The sequence below is a fragment of the Homo sapiens genome, chromosome 4 (assembly GCF_000001405.40).
Source record: "Homo sapiens chromosome 4, GRCh38.p14 Primary Assembly".
Taxonomy (NCBI): domain Eukaryota; kingdom Metazoa; phylum Chordata; class Mammalia; order Primates; family Hominidae; genus Homo; species Homo sapiens.
Window position 1 is genome coordinate 107,051,945 of NC_000004.12, and position 23,999 is coordinate 107,075,943.

At 36.7% G+C, this 23,999-nt stretch overlaps 1 annotated feature.

Annotated features, from left to right (window-relative positions):
- Positions 21,138–21,638: an enhancer, noted in NCBI's record as "H3K27ac-H3K4me1 hESC enhancer chr4:107994239-107994739 (GRCh37/hg19 assembly coordinates)". NCBI's record gives its function as "activates a minimal SCP1, AML or CMV promoter by ChIP-STARR-seq in naive H9 embryonic stem cells {active_cell/tissue: H9 hESC(naive)}" and the evidence as "EXISTENCE:reporter gene assay evidence [ECO:0000049][PMID:30033119]".

Here is a 23,999-nt window from a genome sequence, read left to right on the forward strand (position 1 = left end):
TTGTATAATTCTACATATTTTACTTATTTATTATGTTGATTATTATATACATCCTCCACTGTAAGCTCAGTGAGAGTGAGGATTTTAGTCTACTTTACATATGGATGAATGCCAAACACCTAGGTCAGTGCCTGGCATGCAGAAGGCACTTAATAATGGGTGCAGCACACCAGCATGGCACATGCATACATATGTAACAAACCTGCACGTTGTGCACATGTACCCTAGAACTAAAGTATAATAAGAAATGAAAATAAAAAAAGAAGGCACTTAATAAAAGACTTAATTAAATCCTCTTCAGTTCAACTCAATAAAACATTACTGCTCTGTACTTGTATTTCATAATATTTTCATGCTCTCAATATTTGTTATTTTGAAATAAGTTTTTCTTACCAGAAAAACATTCAAAGATGGCATTATCTTTTTGTTACTTAGTCTGAACAGCCTGCAAACACTGATGCATTGCTATCATTATCTTGTCTTTTTTTTTTTTTTTTTTTGAGATGTATTCTCACCACACTGTCACCCAGGCTGGAGTGCAGTGGTGTGATCTCGGCTCACTGCAACCTCTGTCTCCTGGGTTCAAGTGATTCTCCCAACTCAGCTTCCCAAGTAGCTGGGACTACAGGTGAGTGCCACCATGCCCAGCTAATGTTTGTACTTTTAGTAGAGACAGGGTTTCGCCATGTTAGCCAGGCTGGTCTCAAATTCCTGGCCTCAGGCGACCCCCTCACCTTGGCCTCCCAAAATGTTGGGATTTCAGGTGTGATTCACTGTGTCTGGCCCATATCTTGTGTTTCTTGTGGTTAGGCACTTGAAATTTCTTCATTTTTCTCAACATCTGTGAATAATACACCTTTTTGTCATTTCTCTTAGTTTTTTTCTCATTTCTCTTAGTTTTTTTCTCGATCTTATATCCGTTGTAATTAATCTGTATTTTTCCATTGGAATTTAAGACATAAAATATATCTTAAGGCAGGAATAACTCTAAGCAAAATTGTGAAGTTAGATCAAATAAATCTTTGATGCTGTGCCAATGAAAATCATCTAATATTTGGTCTCCCTTACACACTGCTCCTAAGAAAACTACTGTATTAGTGGCCATGATGAAATTCCTGCCTTTGCACCAACTCTGAGTAGCTTAGGGCACTACTGCTCCAGGGGAACATTTGTGTTTAAATAAAACTATAAAATTCCAAGACCCATAAGACCTCAAAAAGTGTGATAGTGTCACATAGTGGGAGGAAATATTTGGAAACGAAATCTCCAGGCACTCTTTGAATTGTATCACGTAAGAGATCTCAAATCCTAAGATTCTTATTGGATAAATAATTTTTGAATTAGTGGATGCCATTTGAAAGACAATGCACTATCAGTGCATGAGAAGGAGTAGGTCAACAACCCATAGCTGACAACGACAACAACAACAAAACCATAAGAGTTGAGGTGGGCATGTGAAGTCAGAATGAATACAGAAATAGGTGAAGTGGTGGGTGGATATAAGGGATATCTTTGCTTATGCCTCCCACCACCATCTATCTTCCTTCTTATAGTAAGAGCATCCTGGTTTTCCTCTGTAGAACTACCCCACTCCCCTTGCCCTATTCTTACTTCACGTGGCTGTAACAGTGAACCGAGAATCCAGACCTAGCAACTTGGAGTATTTTATCCCTGGCCACAAAAGTTGATTCTTAGCAGCAAGGTCAGACACTTGCTGGAAGCATCGGAAATAAGAAGTTCTCCTTTTGTCAAGGTTTATTAACTAGCAGGATGTAAGGTAGAAGATAATTTACCTGAGAAAGTATGTCATACAAGGGAAAGCAAAATGAAGAGAGAAAAATTACTGATGATGATTTGAGCCATACCTGAAGTCCAGTGTTAGACATTCCTATTAAAACCAATAAATTTCCCTTTTTACTTAAGCTACTTCAAGCCTGGGTTTTCATCATTTATAATTAAAAGAATTCTAATAGATTAAAAATACACTGAATTTGGAATGAATCAAAGCTCTACTTTGGAAAATTCCAACCTAGAAACAAATAGAGGAAATTCATTACTGAAGCTCTTGAACACATAAGTATTATTTTCCTTTAAGTTCAAGCTTAACACATGCTAGAGTTTGGGTTTGAATGGAAGCAAAAAGATGTTTCAGAATTTATTAGAGAACATCTGACACAACTGTTTTTGGTGATAGATATTATATGAAAACAAGTGCTTATGATTTTCCAATATGGGTATACACATTACGATTGAAAATTTATTTTAAGATTGAAATGTATTTTATTATTCATATACTTTGGATCTGCTAATTTTATGAAATGGAACTGTAAGAAGAATCTCTTACACTTTTGATTTATAAATACCTCTCTTGGGATTATTAGTTTGAAACTAACAAGAATTTGCTCAAATGTGCATGGAAATTTTGAAGTAAGCAGTAGAAGAAACTTGATAGTAAGAGCACAACAGGCTCCCAATTAAGAGCACCCAAGCATCTGAGGATAAAACAAAAGCTCAGCTTGGTAGCATGGGATCCAGACCTGGGAGCCCAGAATAAGACCACTCCCTCTGCTTTTCGTGAGACATCTGGTCTCCTGATACTGCCTAGCTGTGCGCTTCTGCTTGATTCTACTACTACTCTTTTGGTTTGCTGACTTGTGGCTCTCTTCGCTATGGAACTTTGGCTTTCAACTGCATTTGGCTTTCTTTAGAGCCAACTCTAGTCACAACTCTTTATGATCTTGGAACTCAGTTATCTCTGCTAGATGATCCACTCAGTTTGATGGTTTTAAATTCCAAATACCTGGCTAAGAGAATCATTTTAGGTCATTTTAGGGGTAGGATCACCTGGTACAAACAGCCTACATTGGTTCACCATCCCCCCATGGCTTCAAGTAGAGAAAGGGCCTTTTCAAAAAGGACGTGAGCAGGAAGGCAATGATTACATTTTCTACCACAGAAAGTAATGTAAAAACTATTCTGATTACCACAGGGGTACTTATGCATTTCTTCTCACTGGGGATGCAGGATAAAATCATAACAGATGGTATTAAAAACAAATCATAATGTTTCAGATAATTAATTTATACTTTAAAAGTACTATTGAATGATTTTTGCTCCATACGAAAGAGTCTGGCTTGTTTGTATTAAAGAACAAATTAAAATATAAGTATCTCAAAAAATTCATTAGACATGTTCAAATTTATTCTATCCATTATGTCTTATGACATTTCAAATTAATGGCATTATCTCTATAGATTTTTTTTGTATATATATATATACTTCAGGACTCAAAACAGATTTTAGAAACAAATCAACATTACATTCACTCTGATAATTGTTTAGCAATGTTGATTTTACTGGACAGTTCAGGGGAAAAAAGGGAAATAGAAAAACATCAATGACTAATTCATAAGATCAATTGAAAAATTCAAAATTGTTTCTGATGTTACAGTGAACATAATTTTTCAAGACATCATAAAATAATTTAAAACATATTTCTATTGTAATAGATAATATTTATCTAAAACAAAGAAAGTATAACCATACAAATTGAATCTGTCTGATTTAGTTTTAGGAAATCTTAATGACCTAATATACAAAGCAATTTAGGAGGAAACTAAAGCAAAAAATTCAGGCTTTCCAAGATCTGATATTTTTTCTAAAGTGACATATTGAAATAATCTCTACTAAAAAGAGTACTGGGCTGGACACAGTGGCTCATGCCTGTAATCCCAGCACTTTGGGAGGCCGAGGAAGGCGAATCATTTTAGCTCAGGGGTCGAGACCAGCCTGACCAACATGGTGAAACCCCGTCCTTACTAAAAAATTCAAAAAAAAAAAAAAAAAGCCAGACATGGTGGCAGGTGCCTGTAATCCCAGCTACCGGGAGGATGAGGCAGGAGAATCGTTTGAACCCGGGAGGCAGAGGATGCAGTGAGCAGAGATCGCGCCACTGCACTCCAGCCTGGGTGACAGAGCAAGACTCCATCTCAAAAACAAAACAAAATAAAACAAAACAGTACTGATGAAGGAATTGAGTAAATGATATTAGTTTAGAAGATGAAAGAGGCAAATGACATTAAAGAGTCATTAATATGAACAATATAAAATAGTGTATGATACTTGTTATAACTGTTAATGTTCTTATATTGCTTGGTATTTCAAACTCATAAAGGTGTGATTATTATAATATTTTATTAATAAACCAATTGGGCAGTTTTTGAACATGAAAGCATTTTTCTTATGTTTAAAGACAGAAAAAAATGTTGGATAACACATTAAAGAAGCTTCAAACTTTTTATTATTTGAGGCACACACTCTGTTCTCTACCTGCAGTTTTTAGTTTGTTTAATTTCTTCAGTGGTACAAAATCAAGGTTTTCAAAGCTCACCCAGAAACATCTGACTTGCTCTTACAATTATAAGTCAGAAAGTTAAGGAACCTCAGAAGAAAACTCCTGTCAACCTATCTCTATACTATGAGGTGAATATTAAAACAATCATTGTTGTAAATGATGGAGGTTGTCTTTAAATTACATCAATACAGTTTTGAGGAAGGAGACATATTTCTTCTAATGAGAGCCGCATATGCCTATTAAGACTAGGAAGATATTAGGAGTCACTCACTTAAATTAATTAATAAAGTGTGAAGTCACAATAAAATAAAGTAGGTATAGCAGAATTTTATAATAGCAGTCACTTCAAAAATATATTGCATTTGGAATGACTCAATAATAAATTCAGCTTTTAGAGGCCAAGAAATGCTTCCAATAAGAAACGATGTTTGAACAGAGGTTTAAGGAATGAATGGGTAATAGTGACCTGGAGGAAGGTAACAGATCCCAAGAAAAGTGAAAAGACATTGAGCTGCAAAGATGCATGGCAGGAGTTTAAGAAATAACAAGCAGTCCTGAAAAAGTGGAGCATAGAAACTCCTGAGGACAAACAAGATGAGACTGTAAAAGTAACAATGCCAGGAAAACAGTTTTTCAGTTAGGTACAAGAGAGCCCCATTGACTTATTTCACAGTTTCAATATGTGTAATTATATTCTTCTAAAAGTTTTAGCTTCTTAAACCTGGACAACTCCAAGAATGAAATCTGCCCTTACTCAAATGCACTCTTCATCGAACATTCAAAGAGACTTTGCTGTTCAGAATATAAGTTTACATGGCTAGCTCTCCTACTAAATCCATGCCTTCCCAGGCAGTGGGAATGCCTCATCCACTTTGGCATGCCTAGCACCATGCAGCATATTGTAGGTACTAAATACACGTTTATTGAATAAATAAAGAGACAAATACTAAGCAATAGCTTTCTACATATTTATAGCAGGTCTTGCATTGATAGATAATGAAAATTTGTCACCAAACATACAGCCCATTATAAAAAGTCTTATAGTTGATAAAGAGAGAACTGAATACATGTATAATTCATGGTTTAATGTGTATTCTTGATGTATTTGCCTAAAAGTAAGAGGACTTTAGCCTTCACGTCAAGAGAACTCTGCCAATAGCTGGATGTGTGACCTTGGGCAAGTAACTTAACCTCATCTTCAAAATGACAACTCACATTAAGGTCTCTTTAAACTTATTAATGTTATGATTTTATAAAATAATGTAAAATATCATAGCAGTTAAACAGTAAAAAGCTAATGTGAGATCATTTTACTTCAAATATAATTTAAAATATTTTAAAAAACATTTGATTTGCTATTATTCATAAAATAATTTAATTCTATATGACAAAATTAATTTTTGCCCTTTCGGCCCTGACTGCATGTAGAAAATAATTTTACTGTTATTAATATGTGCTAATATCAGTAATCATTTTGATGTAAAATATATGTATATCTGTATTAGTTTGTTTTCACACTGCTGATAAAGACATACCCAAGACTGGGAGGAAAAAGAGTTTTAATTGGACTTACAGTTCCACATGGCTGGGGAGGCCTCAGAATCATGGTGGGAGGCGAAAGGCACTTCTTATATGGTGGCAGCAAGAGAAAATGAGGAAGAAACAAAGCGGAAACCCTGATAAACCCATCAGATCTGGTGAGACTTATTCATTATTTTGAGAATAGCACAGGAAAGACTGGCCCCCATGATTCAATTAGCTCTCCCTGGGTCCCTCCCACAACACATGGGAATTCTGGGAGATACAATTCAAGTTGAGATTTGGGTGGGGACACAGCCAAACCATATCAATATCTATTTCTATCTATGTACATATATCTTGCTTTATTCTCCCTCTTATGAGGAGAGAAAAATTTTAGTATTAACATTACAATGCTGTTGTATTTAGAAGTTTATACAGTGAAAAATTAAAGTATAAAAGTTGAAAATACAGAAGAGAGATAAACAGAATTCACTTATTAATTTATATAGTCTCATGTTTATCTCCCCCACAGCAATAAAATTAAACCAGTTAAAGATATATTACATAATATCCCATTGAACATCCTTTCTGTATTTGCTGAACTTATCAGAGGAGCAACAGGGAGAATATAAATCTTTTAAATATCAGATTATTTCCTTAGGGACAATTAAATCTGAGATATTTATATAACAACATAGGTAAAAGGCACTATATAGTTGGACAGAATGTGCCATTATAGGAAAAGTAAGTAACTTATACACACCCACCAGGAAAACATTAATCAGAAAAGGCAGAACAGGCATGAAACTTTTCACCACGAGCTTGAAGCTGCATGTGAAGCAGAAGTAATTCATTGCCAAGAGTCTGGAGATTACAAAACATCACAACGACTTTTAAAAGTAGACAATTTTTCAAAATTATGGCTTAGCCAAATAGTTATCACTGATCACTTGTGAAAGCAAACTGTAGACATGTTTTTAAAATGTGTTAACTAAAAGTAACAGTAATGACCTAAGAACACAACAATTAATTTCAATAGATAATTGCCAAACATATATTGAAACAGGAGTTCAGGATAGTTACTATAGCACAGTCTTTACCTTCAAGCAACTCTCAGTCTCAGAAGGGAGTCAGGTATACAAAGAAATAAGTTATAGTACAATGTGGTAAAGTGAAAGAGTACCAATGTGTACAGGGTGCAAAGCTAGTGAGAAAAGTGAATAATTATGAGTCATAGCATCTACAGAGATTCAGGGGAGGGAAGATGTAGAAAAAAAGTTTCCCAGAGGAGGAGAATTCAGAGATGAACAGTTCAAACAGAACTTTATTTCCCCTGCTTTACTCTCTATATTCCTGAAAAGAAAACGGCTTGGTTGAAAAAAACTAAAAAAGCTAATCACAGCAGGGTTTGATTTTATTCCTTGGCAATAAATAAAGGAGAAATACAAGGGGCCCGAAATCATGGTAATTAGAGGAGGAGGTCCAGAACCTAAACAATTGTAATAACCAAAAAGAAGCACTTTTGAATCAATTTTAAATTAAATTTAGAATCATTATGAAGTATTATTTTCCTCTATATCTTCCAAAATGATCCAAATCTGCCAAATACCATCCACCAACTTATCTTGCACATTTGTTTCTAGTAGAGAGTAAAAATTGTTTACTTAAGCTGTCCCACTTTTGATATGTGGTCAGGGGCCTTTACATATTTAAAATTCATTTTCCGTATCATTTATCAAAACCTTCTATGTGCTCCCTACTGTGTGCCTAAAATAGCCTCTAAGGATAAAATCTAAGGAAGTTGGTTAATTATTTCTCAACCTGAGTAAGCTTATAACCATAATAGAAAAAAATGTTGTATGATTATAGAAAAAATACAAGGTAATATCATTTTATAGGTTATCTATGATCATACAAAGAAGAGTACAGGTAGTACTCACTGAAGAAACTGAAAATAAGAGAAAGAGCACATTGGGATAGTATTGATATGGACAATATTTAAAGCAAATAGATTCAGATCTCAGTATCTTTGACTTTAGGCTGTCATTTTTGAAGTGTCCCTTATGTCTCAGTCATTTGATTAAGTGCTGCATGTATATTTTCTCACCTTGTCTTTACCATATCCCTGCAAGTAATTGATATTACATCCAATTGACAGATGAGAATGAGCTTTGAACTCAGATATACCTGTTTTTAGAAGCTTCCCAAAAGTAAAGCATTAAATTTAAGGGGGATGGGGGAAAGAAGACATGAGGGGCTTTTCAGGTAGAATAAATAGTCTTGATGATGCATAGAAGCAGGGGGATTGAAGAATTTGCAGTGTAAATTCTGCCTTGTTTATGCACGGGAAGAAAACAAGCACTCAATTCCAACTATAGTCCTATTACCCTATACAGTGCTCTCCTGCCCACTGTTTGACCTACATAATCTTCAGAATCTGTGTGTGGCTAAAGTCAGGTACTGGTTCCTAGACTGAGGAAGCCCGAGGAACAGAACACAGGTACAAGCCATGGGCATGGATCATGCCTAAAGAGCTCAGTAATCAACATTTTGTGGAGTTTTTCAGTTTCACCTATATAAGCACAAATATTTGACATGTTTAGCCTGCAAGAATAAAACATTCCATGAATAATGGAAACAGTTATCTTACTGCTATTTTTAAGGATTCCAAGGAACTCCACAAAGCAGCTTGCTTCCTCTCAAGCAAATAAGAAAGATACGTTTATTTTGACAGACTATCTCGTCTCCAAATATTCGTCATAAATTAGTCACTGTTTCCCTAAAGCAACTCTAAATTCCCCAAACCAGAGAAGACAGTTTTATTTTCTATTCCCAACATAACTTTCCGTGTCAGCATCAGGTCCCCAAGGTGGTGGTGTTAAAGCATGTCTTTCGTGACCACGCTGTATTTCAATGAACCTCTTTAAACTATTGCTCCAACTCCAGGATTTCATAGAACACAATTTGAAATTTTTGTCTGGAATTATTACATTTTTAATTTTACAGGGAGATGTATACTTTTGCACAAGAAAAAGAATTGCACAAGACAGTAGATTCAATACTGAAAAGCTCAGTATTTCTAATTTCATGTTATTGAACTCTCTATTAGCAAGAATTCTTTAGTCACATATTTTATGAAGTTATAAATTATTTTATAAAAGATGCCTCTCATCTCTTCCCACCAATCTCAATGTTTTTTTACTTAAACTTTCATTTATATTGTCTTAAATCAACATAAAATTCTAACCGGTAGAGTCAGGTTTGGAAGGTCTGGCATAACCATTTCCCAAGTCCCAGGCTTTTTGTAACAATTGCATTGTCTGTCTTGTAAGTTTCATTAATGGCTGTGCTGTGCCGCTAAGACACTTGGAGCTCCATCAGTAGAACTTATTTAGGAGTAAGAAACCGGACAAGTATCATTTGCATTACCTCCAACTCTCCACTCCAGTGAACACTTAGACTTCTGCAACATTCTTTAGGTTTATATGTTTCCAGTCTAACATTTTCATTTATTCAACTGAAGTTTCAGAATGGCTCCCAACAAACCTAAATAATTTTAAAGATAATTACTCCCAAAATTATCTTGATAGTTTGAATGAATTGAGCTCTCAATCCTAGAAATTTAGGAAATAGGTTTTGTAGATTTTTATTTTCTGAATGGAAGGGCATGTAGTGAATGCAAATGCAAGTCATACCTACCCCCGTTTTCCCTTTCTGTCTCAAGGCCCTATCCAAGGGACAGCTCTAGGTATTCTTCCTAAGAATAAATGTAACTTTTGACTTATGTGATGTGATTGTCTTTTTTTAGCCATGTTTGGGTGTATTTGTCCTCTTTGCTCCTGCACAAAGATGGAAGAGAGAGTAGGGTTTCCTCATGGAGTGCCACCCTAATAGGAATGAGCTAGAAAGTCTTTGTAGCTGCCCTGGTTTGTGAACAGGGCCCAGAGGCTCCACAGAGCTACCTCCCACTCTGACCTCAACTATGGTTCATTTACAAGAAAATAGGTTATTAAGGCTGGACGAGGTGGCTCACATTTGCAATCCAGAACTTTGGGAGCCTGAAGTGGGTGGATCACTTGAGGCCAGGAGTTCAAGACCAGCCTGGCCAACACGGTGAAACCCTGTCCCTACTAAAAATACAAAAATTAGCCAGGCGTGATGGTGGACACCTGTAACCTCAGGCTCAGGAGGCTGAGGCAGGAGAATCACGTGAACCTGTGGAGGCAGAGGTTTCAGTGAGCTGAGACCGCACCACTGCACTCCAGCTTGGACAACAGAGCAAGACTCTGTTTCAAAAAAAAAAAAAATGAAAAACGAAAATAGGTTCTCAATGTTTGCAACTCCTGCAACTCCTAACATGGTGACATCGGAAGTAGGGGCTTACCCTTCACCTGCTTATTACTTTCAAGACAAATCCAGAGAAGCAGGGCCCGTATTATTATGGGCTACATGACTTTGTTAAGGAAGGCAATATTTATCAATTATTAGTTAGTCTTAGTTGAGTCTTTCCTAATAATAGTGGAGAATACAGTTGCCTCTGAAGGTGCAGGATAGACCTAGAATGCCAACTACTACATGTAAATCTTACAGAATCATTTTACTGTTTATAATTACTCCTGCAACATCTGCCATAAACAGACACTCATAATCAACCTCCAAGATAAGAAAATTATAGAGATTTTTAAAATATCCTATGCGGGCTCCATTGTCAGAAATGATAATATATGACTTCAAACCTTTTAAGAAGGATTCTACCATAACTAGAAAGTATTAGATAATTTTAAAAAATTAATAAGAATTCATATTGCATTTTATCAAGGTTCCTTTTCACTCCAAATTTAAGCGTCCTACATTTAAATGTTTAACTACCTTAAATTACACTTAAAAACCCAGAGTAATACATCAAAAAGTAAATTTATCTACCAACATGGACATATAGGATGTTAAAATATCCTAATTTCGTTAAATTAACCCTCTAGTTTGAAAGAACTTCTATTTTTCCTGTATTTCTAAAAAATGAAAGTTATGTTATAATACTATAATTGTTATTATTCTTTCAACAAACATATACTTTACACTACTGTACACAACAAATTCTGTTCTTGGTCCTTCCTCATGGAATAGTTTCTTCTTTGCTTTTTGGTGGGTTGCAACCAGGTAAGCTATACTTTGCTTTATAGGTTTTTCAAATATATATATATACACATACACACACACACACACACATACACACAGACATAATAGATTGAAGCTGTAGTTTTTATATCTGACTTTAATATTAATCATAAGAATCACAAGGAGCTTCTATCATTTATTGAGTAGATATCATATTCCAAGAACAATGTCTTTAAAAACTTTAGAGATGGGGCCAGGTGCAGTGGCTCTCGCCTGTAATCCCAGCACTTTGGGAGGCCGAGGCAGGTGGATCACGAGGTCAGGAGATCGAGACCATCCTGGCTAACACGGTGAAACCCCGTCTCTATTAAAAATACAAAAAATTAGCCGGGCTTGGTGGCGGGCACCTGTAGTCCCAGCTACTTCGGAGGCTGAGGCAGGAGAATGTCCTGAACCCGGGAGGCAGAGCTTGCAGTGAGCCGAGATCGTGCCACTGGACTCCAGCCTGGGTGACAGAGAGAGACTCCATCTCAAAAAAAACAAAAAAAAACACAAAACTTTAGAGATAACCAAATATATTTTCGCACTTAAAATTAGAAAATTAAGTCAAACACAGATTAACTAACCTGCCAAAGTTTCACCTCTTCAGCACAAAATTACAAGATGGCTATAACTAATGCAATAAAAGCCATTAATAAACATTCATAAGTAATCCATAAAATGATTTTAGAGGGGTAAGAAAATCAACTCATCATAATTTGCTGTGAAATAATTAACATTCCTCATCAGTTTCTCTGCTGGTTACATAGACTTTAAAGCTTAGGTGAATCTCATAAATCATGTAGTGAAATTTAATAGCCTAAAGAGGAGGATGAAGAAAGTTTTCTAACATTAAAATTTCTAGTGATAACACCAGCATTTGTTTATTTATTAAAAAATAGTCACTTAGTGCCAGAAATATAACAATGAGCAAGAAGGCATAGTTGTAGACTTTGTTGAAGTTTTGCTTGAGATTTCAAAGAATTGAACAAGTAATTATGAAGTCTACAGTTTAGATCGTATCAAGGGAAGTGTCAGAACACTTCAGAGATGGTAGAGAAATTTTAGGATACTTTAAAGGAGGTTAAAATCAGCAACTTTGGAATGATGGAGAAGTTCTACTTGATAAAGTAATATTGAAGTTGGAATAAGAGGTGTAGCATCAAGTTAGGCTTAATAAGATGCTTGCATGGTAGAAGGACACTCCATGCAAGTGAGATCACATGAGCAGAGTTTTACAGTGGGAAGGAGCTTATTCTGTTAGTGTGACTAGAGAAAAATGAGGTTGCTGAAACCACAAAAAGCCAAGACGCGAAGTGTGATGGGTAGTGTGAGTGAAGATGTAGACAGAAGCCAGATCATGGAGGCCATGTTGTCTGATTAGCAACTTATTCTAAGGACCCAGGAATCCCATTAAAAGGATTTACAGAGAGGAACAAGTTGACCAAAACTAACTTGAAAAGTTCACTCTAAGTAGAACAAATGTAACAAAGATGAAAAAGACAGAATGACTTTAAGAATATAGATAGGCTGGCCCACAATAGGGCAGACACCATATCTCTAAGCTTAGAAAACTGACAGTTAAGACACTTGTTAATTTATAGATAATCTAATTAATAGAAGTGGGAAGTAGAGAGAGATAACACCCAAGGAATTCAATAATCTCGGTTAAATTGGACGTTGAGATTGTCAGTTGAGAATGAGATGGGTGGAGTTATTAATGGATCTCAGGAGAATGGTAATACTTGGAGTAGACACTAATGCAAACAAAAATAATAATAGCAGATAACTATTGGGCACCAAAGATTGTTTAAAGGGTCTAGTTTTATTAACTTAGAGCAGCTGTATGAATTAGAGAATTTTATCAGTACTACCTTGGGGAATTTAGAGAGTATAAAGTTAATTAGTTTTCCTGAAGTCTCACAGTTCATAACAAAGGTCAAAATCCATACAGTGTGGTTCCAGAGTCTGCATGCTGGTCACTCTGTTGTGAGCAACAGAATTGATCAGCCAAGCCACGGTGCTGAGTCCTGGTGAGATTGGAGATTTTAGATGTGTGGTGGGTCTGTCTGCTCTGCCAGTGCCAACACAATCTGGAGTGACTCTTCGAGTTCTCTCCTGTAAATTCTCTTTTCACACTGAATTTGATGTATTGAAACAAGTTGATGTTTCCTGAAGCTGTAAAGTATTATTCCTTCAACATGTATTTGTCCACCTCTATTTTTCTAGTAGAATTTCTTTATCTTATGTTTTTATGTACAAAATTCTCAAAAGTAGCACAGTGTATTATATTTTATTTACCATGTCACTAAATGTGGGATTTAAAATTTTTCTCTTTCCCTTCCTCTTTCTTTCTGTCTCTCTCTCTGTGTCTCCATGTACTGGAAAAGTCCATAAATAGCTGCATATGTGGTTAATAACATCATGATTTCTTGGGTTGAGCAAGGCCAGAATTTCAAAAATGTTCCCTTCTAAAAATGAGGAAGATACTAATAAGTAAAGATTTATAAATAATTTATTTATACATGCCACAAAATCCTTTGCAATGTGTATATAATAGCTATATAGTTTATCATCACAAGTTCACCTATGCAGAAATTGAGTTTTTCAATCCCCTTTGTGAATTTAATTCCTGTGCCCCCATGTCCATTGAAGATGGAAAACTCAGTCTTGTCAACTCAAAGTAAACACATTCATTGATGGATATTTCTCACATGAAGAAAAAAAAGGAAGTGATTTTAACATTGACAACATGAGGAACTCACAAACTATCTAAAAATTGACAACTAGAAACATGTAGTTGTTCAGTGATCTCTCTCATCAATCTCTTCTTTTTATTTTCTTCAAAATAGTTTGAGATCCTCCAATCAAGAAATGAATCCCAGGGAATACACTGACGACAAACTTATCAAAAATACATTAAGAAGTGAACTATTATGTGCTATGTCATCTGTGCCTAAATGATGCCTACTAAAGAAATGTCATTCAAAATATATTTGCTGGATGTATAAGTGAATGAATAAACAAAATTATTTTATAGGTATTCACTGTCCAAAAGTTATTCTTGACAGTGGATTTGTACTGACTACTGTTATTTAAATCATAATAAAATATCAACCACTGCACTAAAATAATAACCTTTAATTTAATTGGATATAAGTAAAAACATAAAAATATAAAACAACAACAATGAAAACATTCAAGGAATCCAATGGCTGTCAACGTAAGTGTTCTTGATTGCTGCATAGTTACCTTTTTTGTGGGGTGGCAGGGGCAGACATGCAACTGTGGAGTCCTCTCCTAATTAAGCAGCTTGAAATAAATATTTTTAAATAAAATGTGTTCAGTAATTTTAGCTTTCCTTATTTTTAAATTTTTCAATTCAGTTATTTCAAAAGAGGTATGCTTTAGTTTTTTGAGCACACTTGGTTATAAAATCCACATTAAATATGTTTCTGCTTAATTTCACAATTTTGAAAGAGATGTGGTCCTATCAAAATATTTTGTTGAAGGTGATAAAATTTTAAAATCATATAATATTTTATATATCCCTTCATCTGTTTAGAAATATCTATACTGACAGGTGGTTCTTTTAGATTAAATTGTAGTGGAGAGGAAGTTATAGTACATTATCTCCAACATGTTCTGGCTGTTCAGACACTGTGGCCTCAATCAAGATGCAAAACCACCACCACACCTTGGTGGACCCTTTTCTAAATTGTATAATTTTTCTATATGTTATCATCTGAATGTCTCTCAAAATTCATATGTTGAAACCTAATCCTCTGTGGTGGTATTGAGGCCTTTTAGGAAGTGGTCAAGTCATGAGGTCTCTGCCATCAGGAGTGTATTAGTGCCTTATAAAAGAGCTGGAGGGAAGTAGCTTAGGCCCTTTTTTGCTCTTCTGTCCCTTCCACCATGTGAGGACACAGCATTTTTCACCTCTGGAAAATATAACAAGGCAGCAGCATGTTGGAAAGAGAGACGGAACACCTCACCAGATACTGAATCTGCTGGTGTCTTGAACTTGGATTTCCAGCCCTCCAGAATTGTGGGAAATAAATTTCTGTTCTTTGAAAATTACCTACTCTACAGTGCTTTGTTATAGCAGCATGAACAGACTAAGACACTATCCACACAGCTATAACATATAGGCATAGCTTACAGACCTCCATTTCTAAATTTTTAAGGTGATAAAATTCAGGTCCTTTTTTACTTTACATTTTTCTTTCTTTACATCCTGGTTAAAGAAAAATAACTTTGCTCTTTTCTCTCTCTCTTTTATTTTGGAAACATTTTCAACAAAGTTACCAAGAATTACTTTATTTTACTGATATATCTAATAGAGTTTTCTGCTTATCTATAGTATGGAGACATAAAAATTCAGATTGATTTTTAAATCATTTTTATATATTTTACGCAGAACAGAGGTATATATTGTGCAGATATATTGTGCAGATTATCATAATAATCTGCAGATTATTGTGAACATGAAAGCATGTGTTATTGATTTAAAACCTCATGTTCCATTTTTTCCTCTTATAGTAGCTAATCAATTAGTAGAAGGTCATCAATCAACTACCCTATTTAACATTTTTGGAGAAGTCAAACAAATTGGTAATGAAATAAAGGGAGAAAATCTAAGTGCAGAGTGTGTACTACATAAGACATTTCAACCTTAGTGCTTGGAGAGTAGCATAAGCATTCATCAATTAAATATGACCAATTAAACGTGATATTCACCACCTCTGGATATTGCACGACTCTTCCTTTAGATCCAATTGTGTGTTTAAATCTTTGACTTGTGTGCAATGGAGAGGGGGCAGGTTGATAGAACATGAGTTAGATGTTTAAATTATGTAGCCATTTAAATTGATTTAAATCAATTAAAACGCTGTATGATTTTTTCCAGTTAGACATCCTTTCTGAATCACTCCTGAGTGATATTTTTAAATATAATCTTTACAAGTGGAATAAATGAGAGAAATCATTGTATGTTCTTTTCTCCAAGTTTTTAAAACTATTAGCAAAGATCTTGTTTTTTGATGGGTCTCAAACTTCCCTGACAGTTGAAAATACCCTGTAACACAGTTTATGTAAAGCTAAAGCGTACATAACACACTTTCTTCAAGCCCACATGTAACAAATAAAGATATCAAAGGAACTGACATTTCTGCATTACAGTTTAAAATAACATCCTGTGTGACTTCTATATGCTGTGCTGTTAGTTCAATTTCAGATTTTCTAAACACCGGCTTTGCTTTCAAAGAGTAATGTTCCAGTTCCTGTAGGGAGTGTGTGGAGACTGGTTCTAAAGCTAGGGGGGAAAGTTAAGAATGTGTGGCTTTTGGCTTCAGAATTAGCCATGCTTTAGTGATCTACTGCATTAAACTGTTTCTTATTAATAGATCATGCACAATTCACCCTTCCCTCTTCCCCCCACACAAATCTGACACATTCTCATAATCAATAGCAAATGTGCATTCTGAAAGTTTCACTTTTTTTCTTAAGCCCACCCTGACTTTCATTGTGATACAATGAAACCATCAGAATTTAGTGTTAGGGAGTGTAACATATAACATAACTAAGTGTATTCTGAAAGTACAGTTGATAACTTTGAAATAATGTAACATATGTTGTGTTTACACTTTTCTCCAAAGAGAATGAAGATTTATCCTGAATAAACAGAAAGAAAATATATAAAGTCATGTAGATAATTAGAGAAATTATGGTAAAGTATGAATTTTTTTTTACTTTGGATAAAGATTTTGAAAGTGCCTCCTTTAAAAATAAATGGCTTTTTCTAAAACAAAAAAAGAAAGGTTTTCCAGAGCTCTTTTTCTTTGTAATTATTCTAAATTATAAAAATTCCCTGTCCACCCCAAACCCCCAAATATTTAACCCTCATTTAGTTCTAATGACATCTACTATGGCCCAGTACAAAAATATAATCCTTTACCAGCCGACAGCCAAATACACACAGTTGTCCCTCCGTATATGGGAGGGTAGGTTCCAGTACCCTTGCGTATACTAAAATCACGCATACTCAGTGGGTCCTGTGGACCCACATACAGGAAAAGCTGACCCTCCATATATGCAGATTTCTCATTGCACAAATACTGTATTTTTGACCCTAGTTTGGTTGAAAATAATCTACGTGTAAGTGGAGCCATATAGTTCAAACCTATGTTGCTCAAGGTTCAACTAGAGCTCCTTTCTCACTTCTCATCTTCTTAACCACTTTGTTTCACTTACAACATCCGCACTCCTCTCAGTGACACCCACTCAGTCTTTCCTTTGGCTTCTCTGACTCAGTGTCCTGGCTCCGCTCCCTATGTAGATTCTTATCTAAATCTTTCATGAATTGACCTTATTTCTCACACTTCCTAAATATTAATGCTTCCCATCTTTCTGTCCAACTCTCTCCTTTCCTCCCTTTATGAATTTTGTTGAATTTATCTGCAAAGTTTAAGCTCTGTAAGCATATTGATCTTTATTTCCTCTCTCTCTCTCTGTCTCTGACTCTCTTTCTCTCCCTTCTTATATTTTCTTAAAGTCTTTTCTGATAATACCCTAGAGAGATAGACTAGTAGCTATATAGAATAATTATATTAGAGTAAAAGAAAATTTTAGACATCATTCATTTTACTTTATGCATGAAGAAAGAAGGCAGAAGGATTGCATAATTTACCTTTGCTTGACTTTAATAGCTATTCACTGAGCACATACTATATGTCAGGCACTATGCTAATGCTGATTAAGATATGGTATTTTCCCTCAAAATGTTTAGGTCAGTAGAAAAGATAGGTATATGAAAGTCATTGCAATACAATTCTATCTATGAAATAGATAAAAGTATATGAAACTGATATGGTACAGAGGAGAGAGTGATGAGTTGAGAGTAAAGCTAAAGACCACAATCACAAAAAGAATATCTTGATAGGAGGTGAATAAAAGGTGAGGATTTTCCAGGAAAATAAAAGGAGAAGGGTATTCCAAACAGAGGGAACAATGTGCTTGGAACACCTAAGTGGTTCAGATGGATCATAAGATAAAGGCAAGTATTGATGGAAACTTTAGAAATTGACATAATCAACTGTGCATAAAAGCGTTCTTTTTTATAATACACATAGGTGTATTCACACTTGGTGTTAAAACCATATAAAAAGATGACTGTCTACATTAACATGGAAGGAGGTCTCAGCACTAGGTTATGTCCTAGACAACATTTTCAACAGCAATTTAAAGCACTTACATATGTGATGAAAATAAAATTTGTATTTTATTATATGAGCTTTTGATACTACACATTTTCTCAAATACTAATTTAATTGCCACTCACAAAGTTTGATAGATAAAATGTTTTAAATAAGAAATAAATATTTTGTTATTTTTATTGATTTTTTGATCCATAAATTATTTAGAACATGTTTTAGAATGTTTAAATACATTGAGGGAGTTAATTATGTTTTGTCATTAATATCTAACTCTACAACATTGTGGTCAGAAAATGTTGTCTTTGTGATCTTGATGTTTTGGCATTTGCTGACCCTTGTTTCATTGCTCAATATGACTTCAATATTTGTAAATACCATACATGTGTAAAAGTGTGTATTCACTCATTATTGAGTATAGGAGCTTAATATATGTCCATTAGATCAAATTTTAAATGTGCTGTTAAAATAATTTATATTTCTACTTTTTTCTCTTTGCTCTTTTAATTACTATGGGAAGTTTCTTAAACATTTTCCACTATGATAGTGGGTTTCTCAATAACTCCTTGTAATTCTGTCAATTTTATCACATACTCAGAGGCTCTTTTCTTCAGTACACGTAAGTGTAGAGAACTCGTGTCTTCCTAATGAAGAAATCATCTTATCTTCTTTAACTGTAATACTGTTTTAGCTTTAGTGTATATTATTCCAATTATTTAGATCAAAAACCATGCCCCAAACCTGAAATTTTTTTCACACCTCATATCCTCATATATTCACACCTCATTCATTAGCAAATGCTGCCAACTCTACCTTCAAAACATATCCAGAACTTCTTATCCCTTTCACTGCTACCAAGAAGTCCAAGTCTCAGATTTTTTCTTTATGTTATGTAAATGGTAAATGTTTTACGATTTAAGCATATTATTTTATATTCTCTGTCTTTTAAGTCTAAGGAATCTGACATTCTGCAGGGTCTGATTCTGCTCTTGTGTCATGTGCTGTTTGTAGTGAATTATATTCTTGTGTTCATTATAAATTTAGATTATGACCTCATGTTCTGTGAGACTTTATCTCTGGAAGTACCATCTGCATTGAGGGTATATCCCTTTAGGGAAGTTTTGTTTTTGTTTTAGCCAGGTGCTCTAAATGTGTAAGTAACTTGAGACCACTTTTTATGTTAATTTCAAGATTGCACAGGAAATTAAAACACCTAGCTTATTTGTAGATGAGTCATAGATAAGTACTGTCAAGAGAGATTTTGTTTTTCTTTCCAGAATCTAGGCTATGATGATCAAGTTTTCTTGCTATCTACCTTTGCTGGTGGGAAACTTTTTTCCCTTTATCACCCTTACCCCACTTAATGCTATGATCTCAGCCTGAATCCACAGTTGGGTAGGTAGGTCTTCTCTACTTCCCCTGCATGGCTCTTTAAACCTTAACTCCCAGTTGTCTCCAACTGTCCATTCCTGAAATATCATTGCCTACACTCCCACTTACCTCTCTGGCTTCAGTTCTCTCTTGGTTTATGTAGCTTACATTTAAATAAGGTATTTTATATTCAATTGAACATGTCTAAAGATGGTAACAAGAGGGTTTCTCAGGGTAATTCCTAGAGCATATGACTGTAAATAGAAATGCATTTATATGGTCTGATGCGGTGGCTCACACCTGTAATCCCGGCACTTTGGGATGCAGAGGCAGCTGGATCACCTGAGGTCAGGAGTTTGAGACCAGCCTGGCCAACATGGAGAAACCTCGTCTCTACTAAGAATACAAAAATTAGCCAGGTGTGGTGGAGTGTGCCTGTAATCTCAGCTACCCAGGAGGCTGAGGCAGGAGAATTGCTGGAACCCGGGGGGCAGCGGCTGCAGTGAGCTGAGATCGTGCCACTACACTCCAGGATGGGTGACAGAGCAAGACTCTATCTCAAAACAACAACAACAAAAAAAGATAAATGCATTTATATTTTTCAACTTTTTTAACTAATATATATATATTATATATATATATAATGTAAAATTCAGGATACAAAAGAAAAAAGGTGTTAATTTCTTCTAATTAGCTCAGCTGCTTAACAAAGCTATCAGGTATTCAGGTATTGTGAAATGCTTGCTGCACCTCCGAGCATTTCTTATACTGTAGACAGCAAGAAGGGAGAAAGGCAAAGAGCCATCCCACTGCATCTGTCTTTTTTATTTTTTTCTTTTGAAGACAGAAAAATCTTTCTCAGGACCCTTACCAGCAAAGGTCACTTAATTTTCATCAGCCAGAATTATGCCACGTGACCACTTCTAGCATCAAGGGAAGCTGGGGAATGAGTATTGGCATTCTACTTATTCTGCTTTCAATAGCAGAGGTTCTCAAACTCTAGTATGTTTCATAATCACCTGGAGAACTTATTAAAACATTGCTGGACCCCACTTGCAGAGTTCTAATACAGTAGGTTTTAACGATTTTAACAAGTTTTCAGATAAAGCTGATGCTGTGGATCCTAGGGCCACACTTTGATATTCTCTGCTCTACAGTAAAGAAAGAAAATGTGAGGGGATTTGGAAATAGTTTTATGTTTGTTTGTTTGCTTTAGTGCAGGTGTTTTAAAATTATTTGTATAAATGCTTGGGGAACAAGGGCAATTTAGTTATGTGCAAAGATTCCATAGTGGTGAAGTTAGGGCTTTGGAGCATCCATCATCCAAATAATGTACATTTTATTCCTAAGGTAATTTTGAGAGGTGACAGCATGCTGGCAGCCCTTGCAGCCCTCGCTCACGCTTGGCGCCTCCTCAGCCTCTGCACCCACTCTGGACACGCTTGAGGAACCCTTCAGCCTGCCGCTGCACTGTGGGAGCCCCTTTCTGGGCTGGCCAAGGCGGAAGCCGGCTCCCTCAGGTTGTGGGGAGGTGTGGAGGGAGAGGTGTGGGCGGGAACCAGGGCTACACGTGGCACTTGCAGGCCAGCGTGAGTTCGGGGTGGGAGTGGGCTTGGTGGCCCCCGCACTCTGAGCGGCGGCCAGCACAGCCCGCCCGGCAGTGAGGGGCTTAGCACCCGGGCCAGCAGCTGCGGAGAGTGCACTGGGTCCCCCAGCAGTGCTGGCCCACCAGTGCTGTGCTCGAATTCTCGCCAGGCCTCAGCTGCCTCTGTGGGGGGCAGGACTCAGGACCTGCAGCCCGCCATGCCTAAGCCTCCCCTCCCCCCTCCCCCTCACCCCTACCAATCCCCCTCCCCCCCACCCCTACCAATCCCCCTCCCCCCCACCCCCACCAATCCCCCTCCCCACCACCACTCCCCCTCCCCCCACCCTGGCCCGCGCGACCCGAGCCTCCCCGAGGAGCGCTACCCCCTGCTCCATGGTGCCCGTCCCATTGACCACCCAAGGGCTGAGGAGTGAGGGCGCATGGCGCGGAACTGGCAGGCAGCTCCACCTGCATCCCTGGTGAGGGATCCACCGGATGAAGCCAGCTGGGCTCCTGAGTCTAGTGGGGACTTAGAGAACCTTTGTGTCTAGCTAAGGGATTGTAAATACACCAATCAGCACTCTGTGTCTAGCTCAAGGTTTGTAACCACACCAATCAGCACCCTGTGTCTAGCTCAAGGTTTGTAAATGCACCAATCAGCACTCTGTATCTAGCTAATCTGGTGAGGACTTGGAGAATCTTTATGTCTACCTAAGGGATTGTAAATACACCGATCAGCACCCTGTGTCTAGCTCAAGGTTTGTAAACGCACCAATCGGTGCTCTGTGTCTAGCTAATCTAGTGGGGACTTGGAGAACTTTTGTGTCTAGCTCAGGGATTGTAAATACACCAATCAGCACCCTGTCAAAACGGACCAATGAGCTCTCTGTAAAACAGACCAATTGGTTCTCTGTAAAATGGGCCAATCAGCAGGATGTGGGTGGGACCAGATAAGGGAATAAAAGCAGGCTGCCTGAGCCAGCACTGGTACCGAGGTTGGGTACCCTTCCATACTGTGGTAGCTTTACTTTTTTGCTTTTTGCAATAAATCTTGCTGTTGCTCACTTTTTGGGTTCACACTGCCTTTATGAACTGTAACACTCACCGTGAAGGTCTGCAGCTTCACTTCTGAAGCCAGCGAGACCACAAACCCACTGGAAAAAAAGAACAACTCCAGACGCGCCACCCTAAGAGCTGTAACACTCACCGCGAAGGTCTGCAGCTTCAGTCTTGAAGCCAGCGAGACCACGAACCCACCAGAAGGAAGAAACTCCGAACACATCCTAACATCAGAAGGAACAAACTCCAGACATGCTGCCTTTAAGAACTGTAACACTCACTGTGAAGGTCCATGGCTTCATTCTTGAAGTCAGTGAGACCAAGAACCCACCAATTCTGGACACAATTTCTCATCATCCACCCCCTTCCAATTGCCTCACCCCTTCAGGTCTCCACTGTCTATCACTCCACACTCTATGTCCATGTGTACATGTTATTTAGCTGCCACTTAGGAGTGAGACCATGTAATATTTGTTTTTCTGTGTCTGATTTGTTGGAAATCGTTTTTGACTCAACCTGCAGTGTCTGCCCCTAAAACTTACCCTTTGTTTGTGAAATAAAAAAAGTACATTTACATGAAGACTTGAGGAATCATAGGGTGAAAAGTCAGAGGGGAGTGTTCTATAATGTACAAAAGCCTCATGGCAAGTGAGAGCTTAACATCATTAAAGGATGCCTAAGCACAGAGTATAAGGAAGAAAGAGGTGAGAGATGAACTCAGGATTGACAAGAAGGAACCTCAGGAGTTACATAAACTCCCACAGGACATGAAACTAGTAAGGGACAGAGTGAGTGTTTGAATACAGGTGGCCTGGCCCTGTACTTCACTGCCTCTCTGCTTAAGAACTGGAGTGAGAAACATTAGAAATATTTTTAAAGAAAATTTTAATACAGGAAAATATTCATCAACTTATTATTATACAATTTCTAAAGAGTAAAACAAGGCCATTTGGAGGGATAATATATATCAGTCACATGGGTGATATCCCTATTCAAAACTATGCTTCTACAAATCAATAAGAAAAATATAAACACCCAAAGAGACTGCGGCTATGTAAAGTGATTAATAATGGAGATAAAATTAACTCAAGATGTATTAAAGACTTAAACATAAGACCCAAAACTGTAAAAACTCTAGAAGAAAACCTAGGCAATACCATTCAGTACATAGGCATGGCCAAAGACTTCATGACTAAAACACCAAAAGCAATGGCAACAAAAGCCAAAATTGACAAATGGGATCTAATTAAACTAAAGAGCTTCTGCACAGCAAAAGAAACTATCATCAGAGTGAACAGGCAACCTACAGAATGGGAGAAAATTTTTGCAGTCTATCCATCTGACAAAGGGCTAATATCCAGAATCTATAAAGAACTTAAACAAATTTACAAGAAAAAAACAACGACCCCATCAAAAAGTCAGCAAAGGATATGAACAGACACTTCTCAAAAGAAGACATTTATGCAGCCAACAAACATAGGAAAAAAAGCTCATCATCACTGGTCATGAGAGAAATGCTAATCAAAACCACGATGAGATACCATCTCACACCAGTTAGAATGGCAATCATTAAAAAGTCAGGAAACAATAGATGCTGGAGAGGATGTGGAGAAATAGGAATGCTTTTACACTGTTGGTGGGAGTGTAAATTAGTTCAACCATTGTAGAAGAAAGTGTGGCAATTTCTCAAGGATCTAGAAGCAGAAATACCATTTGACCCAACAATCCCATTACTGAGTAT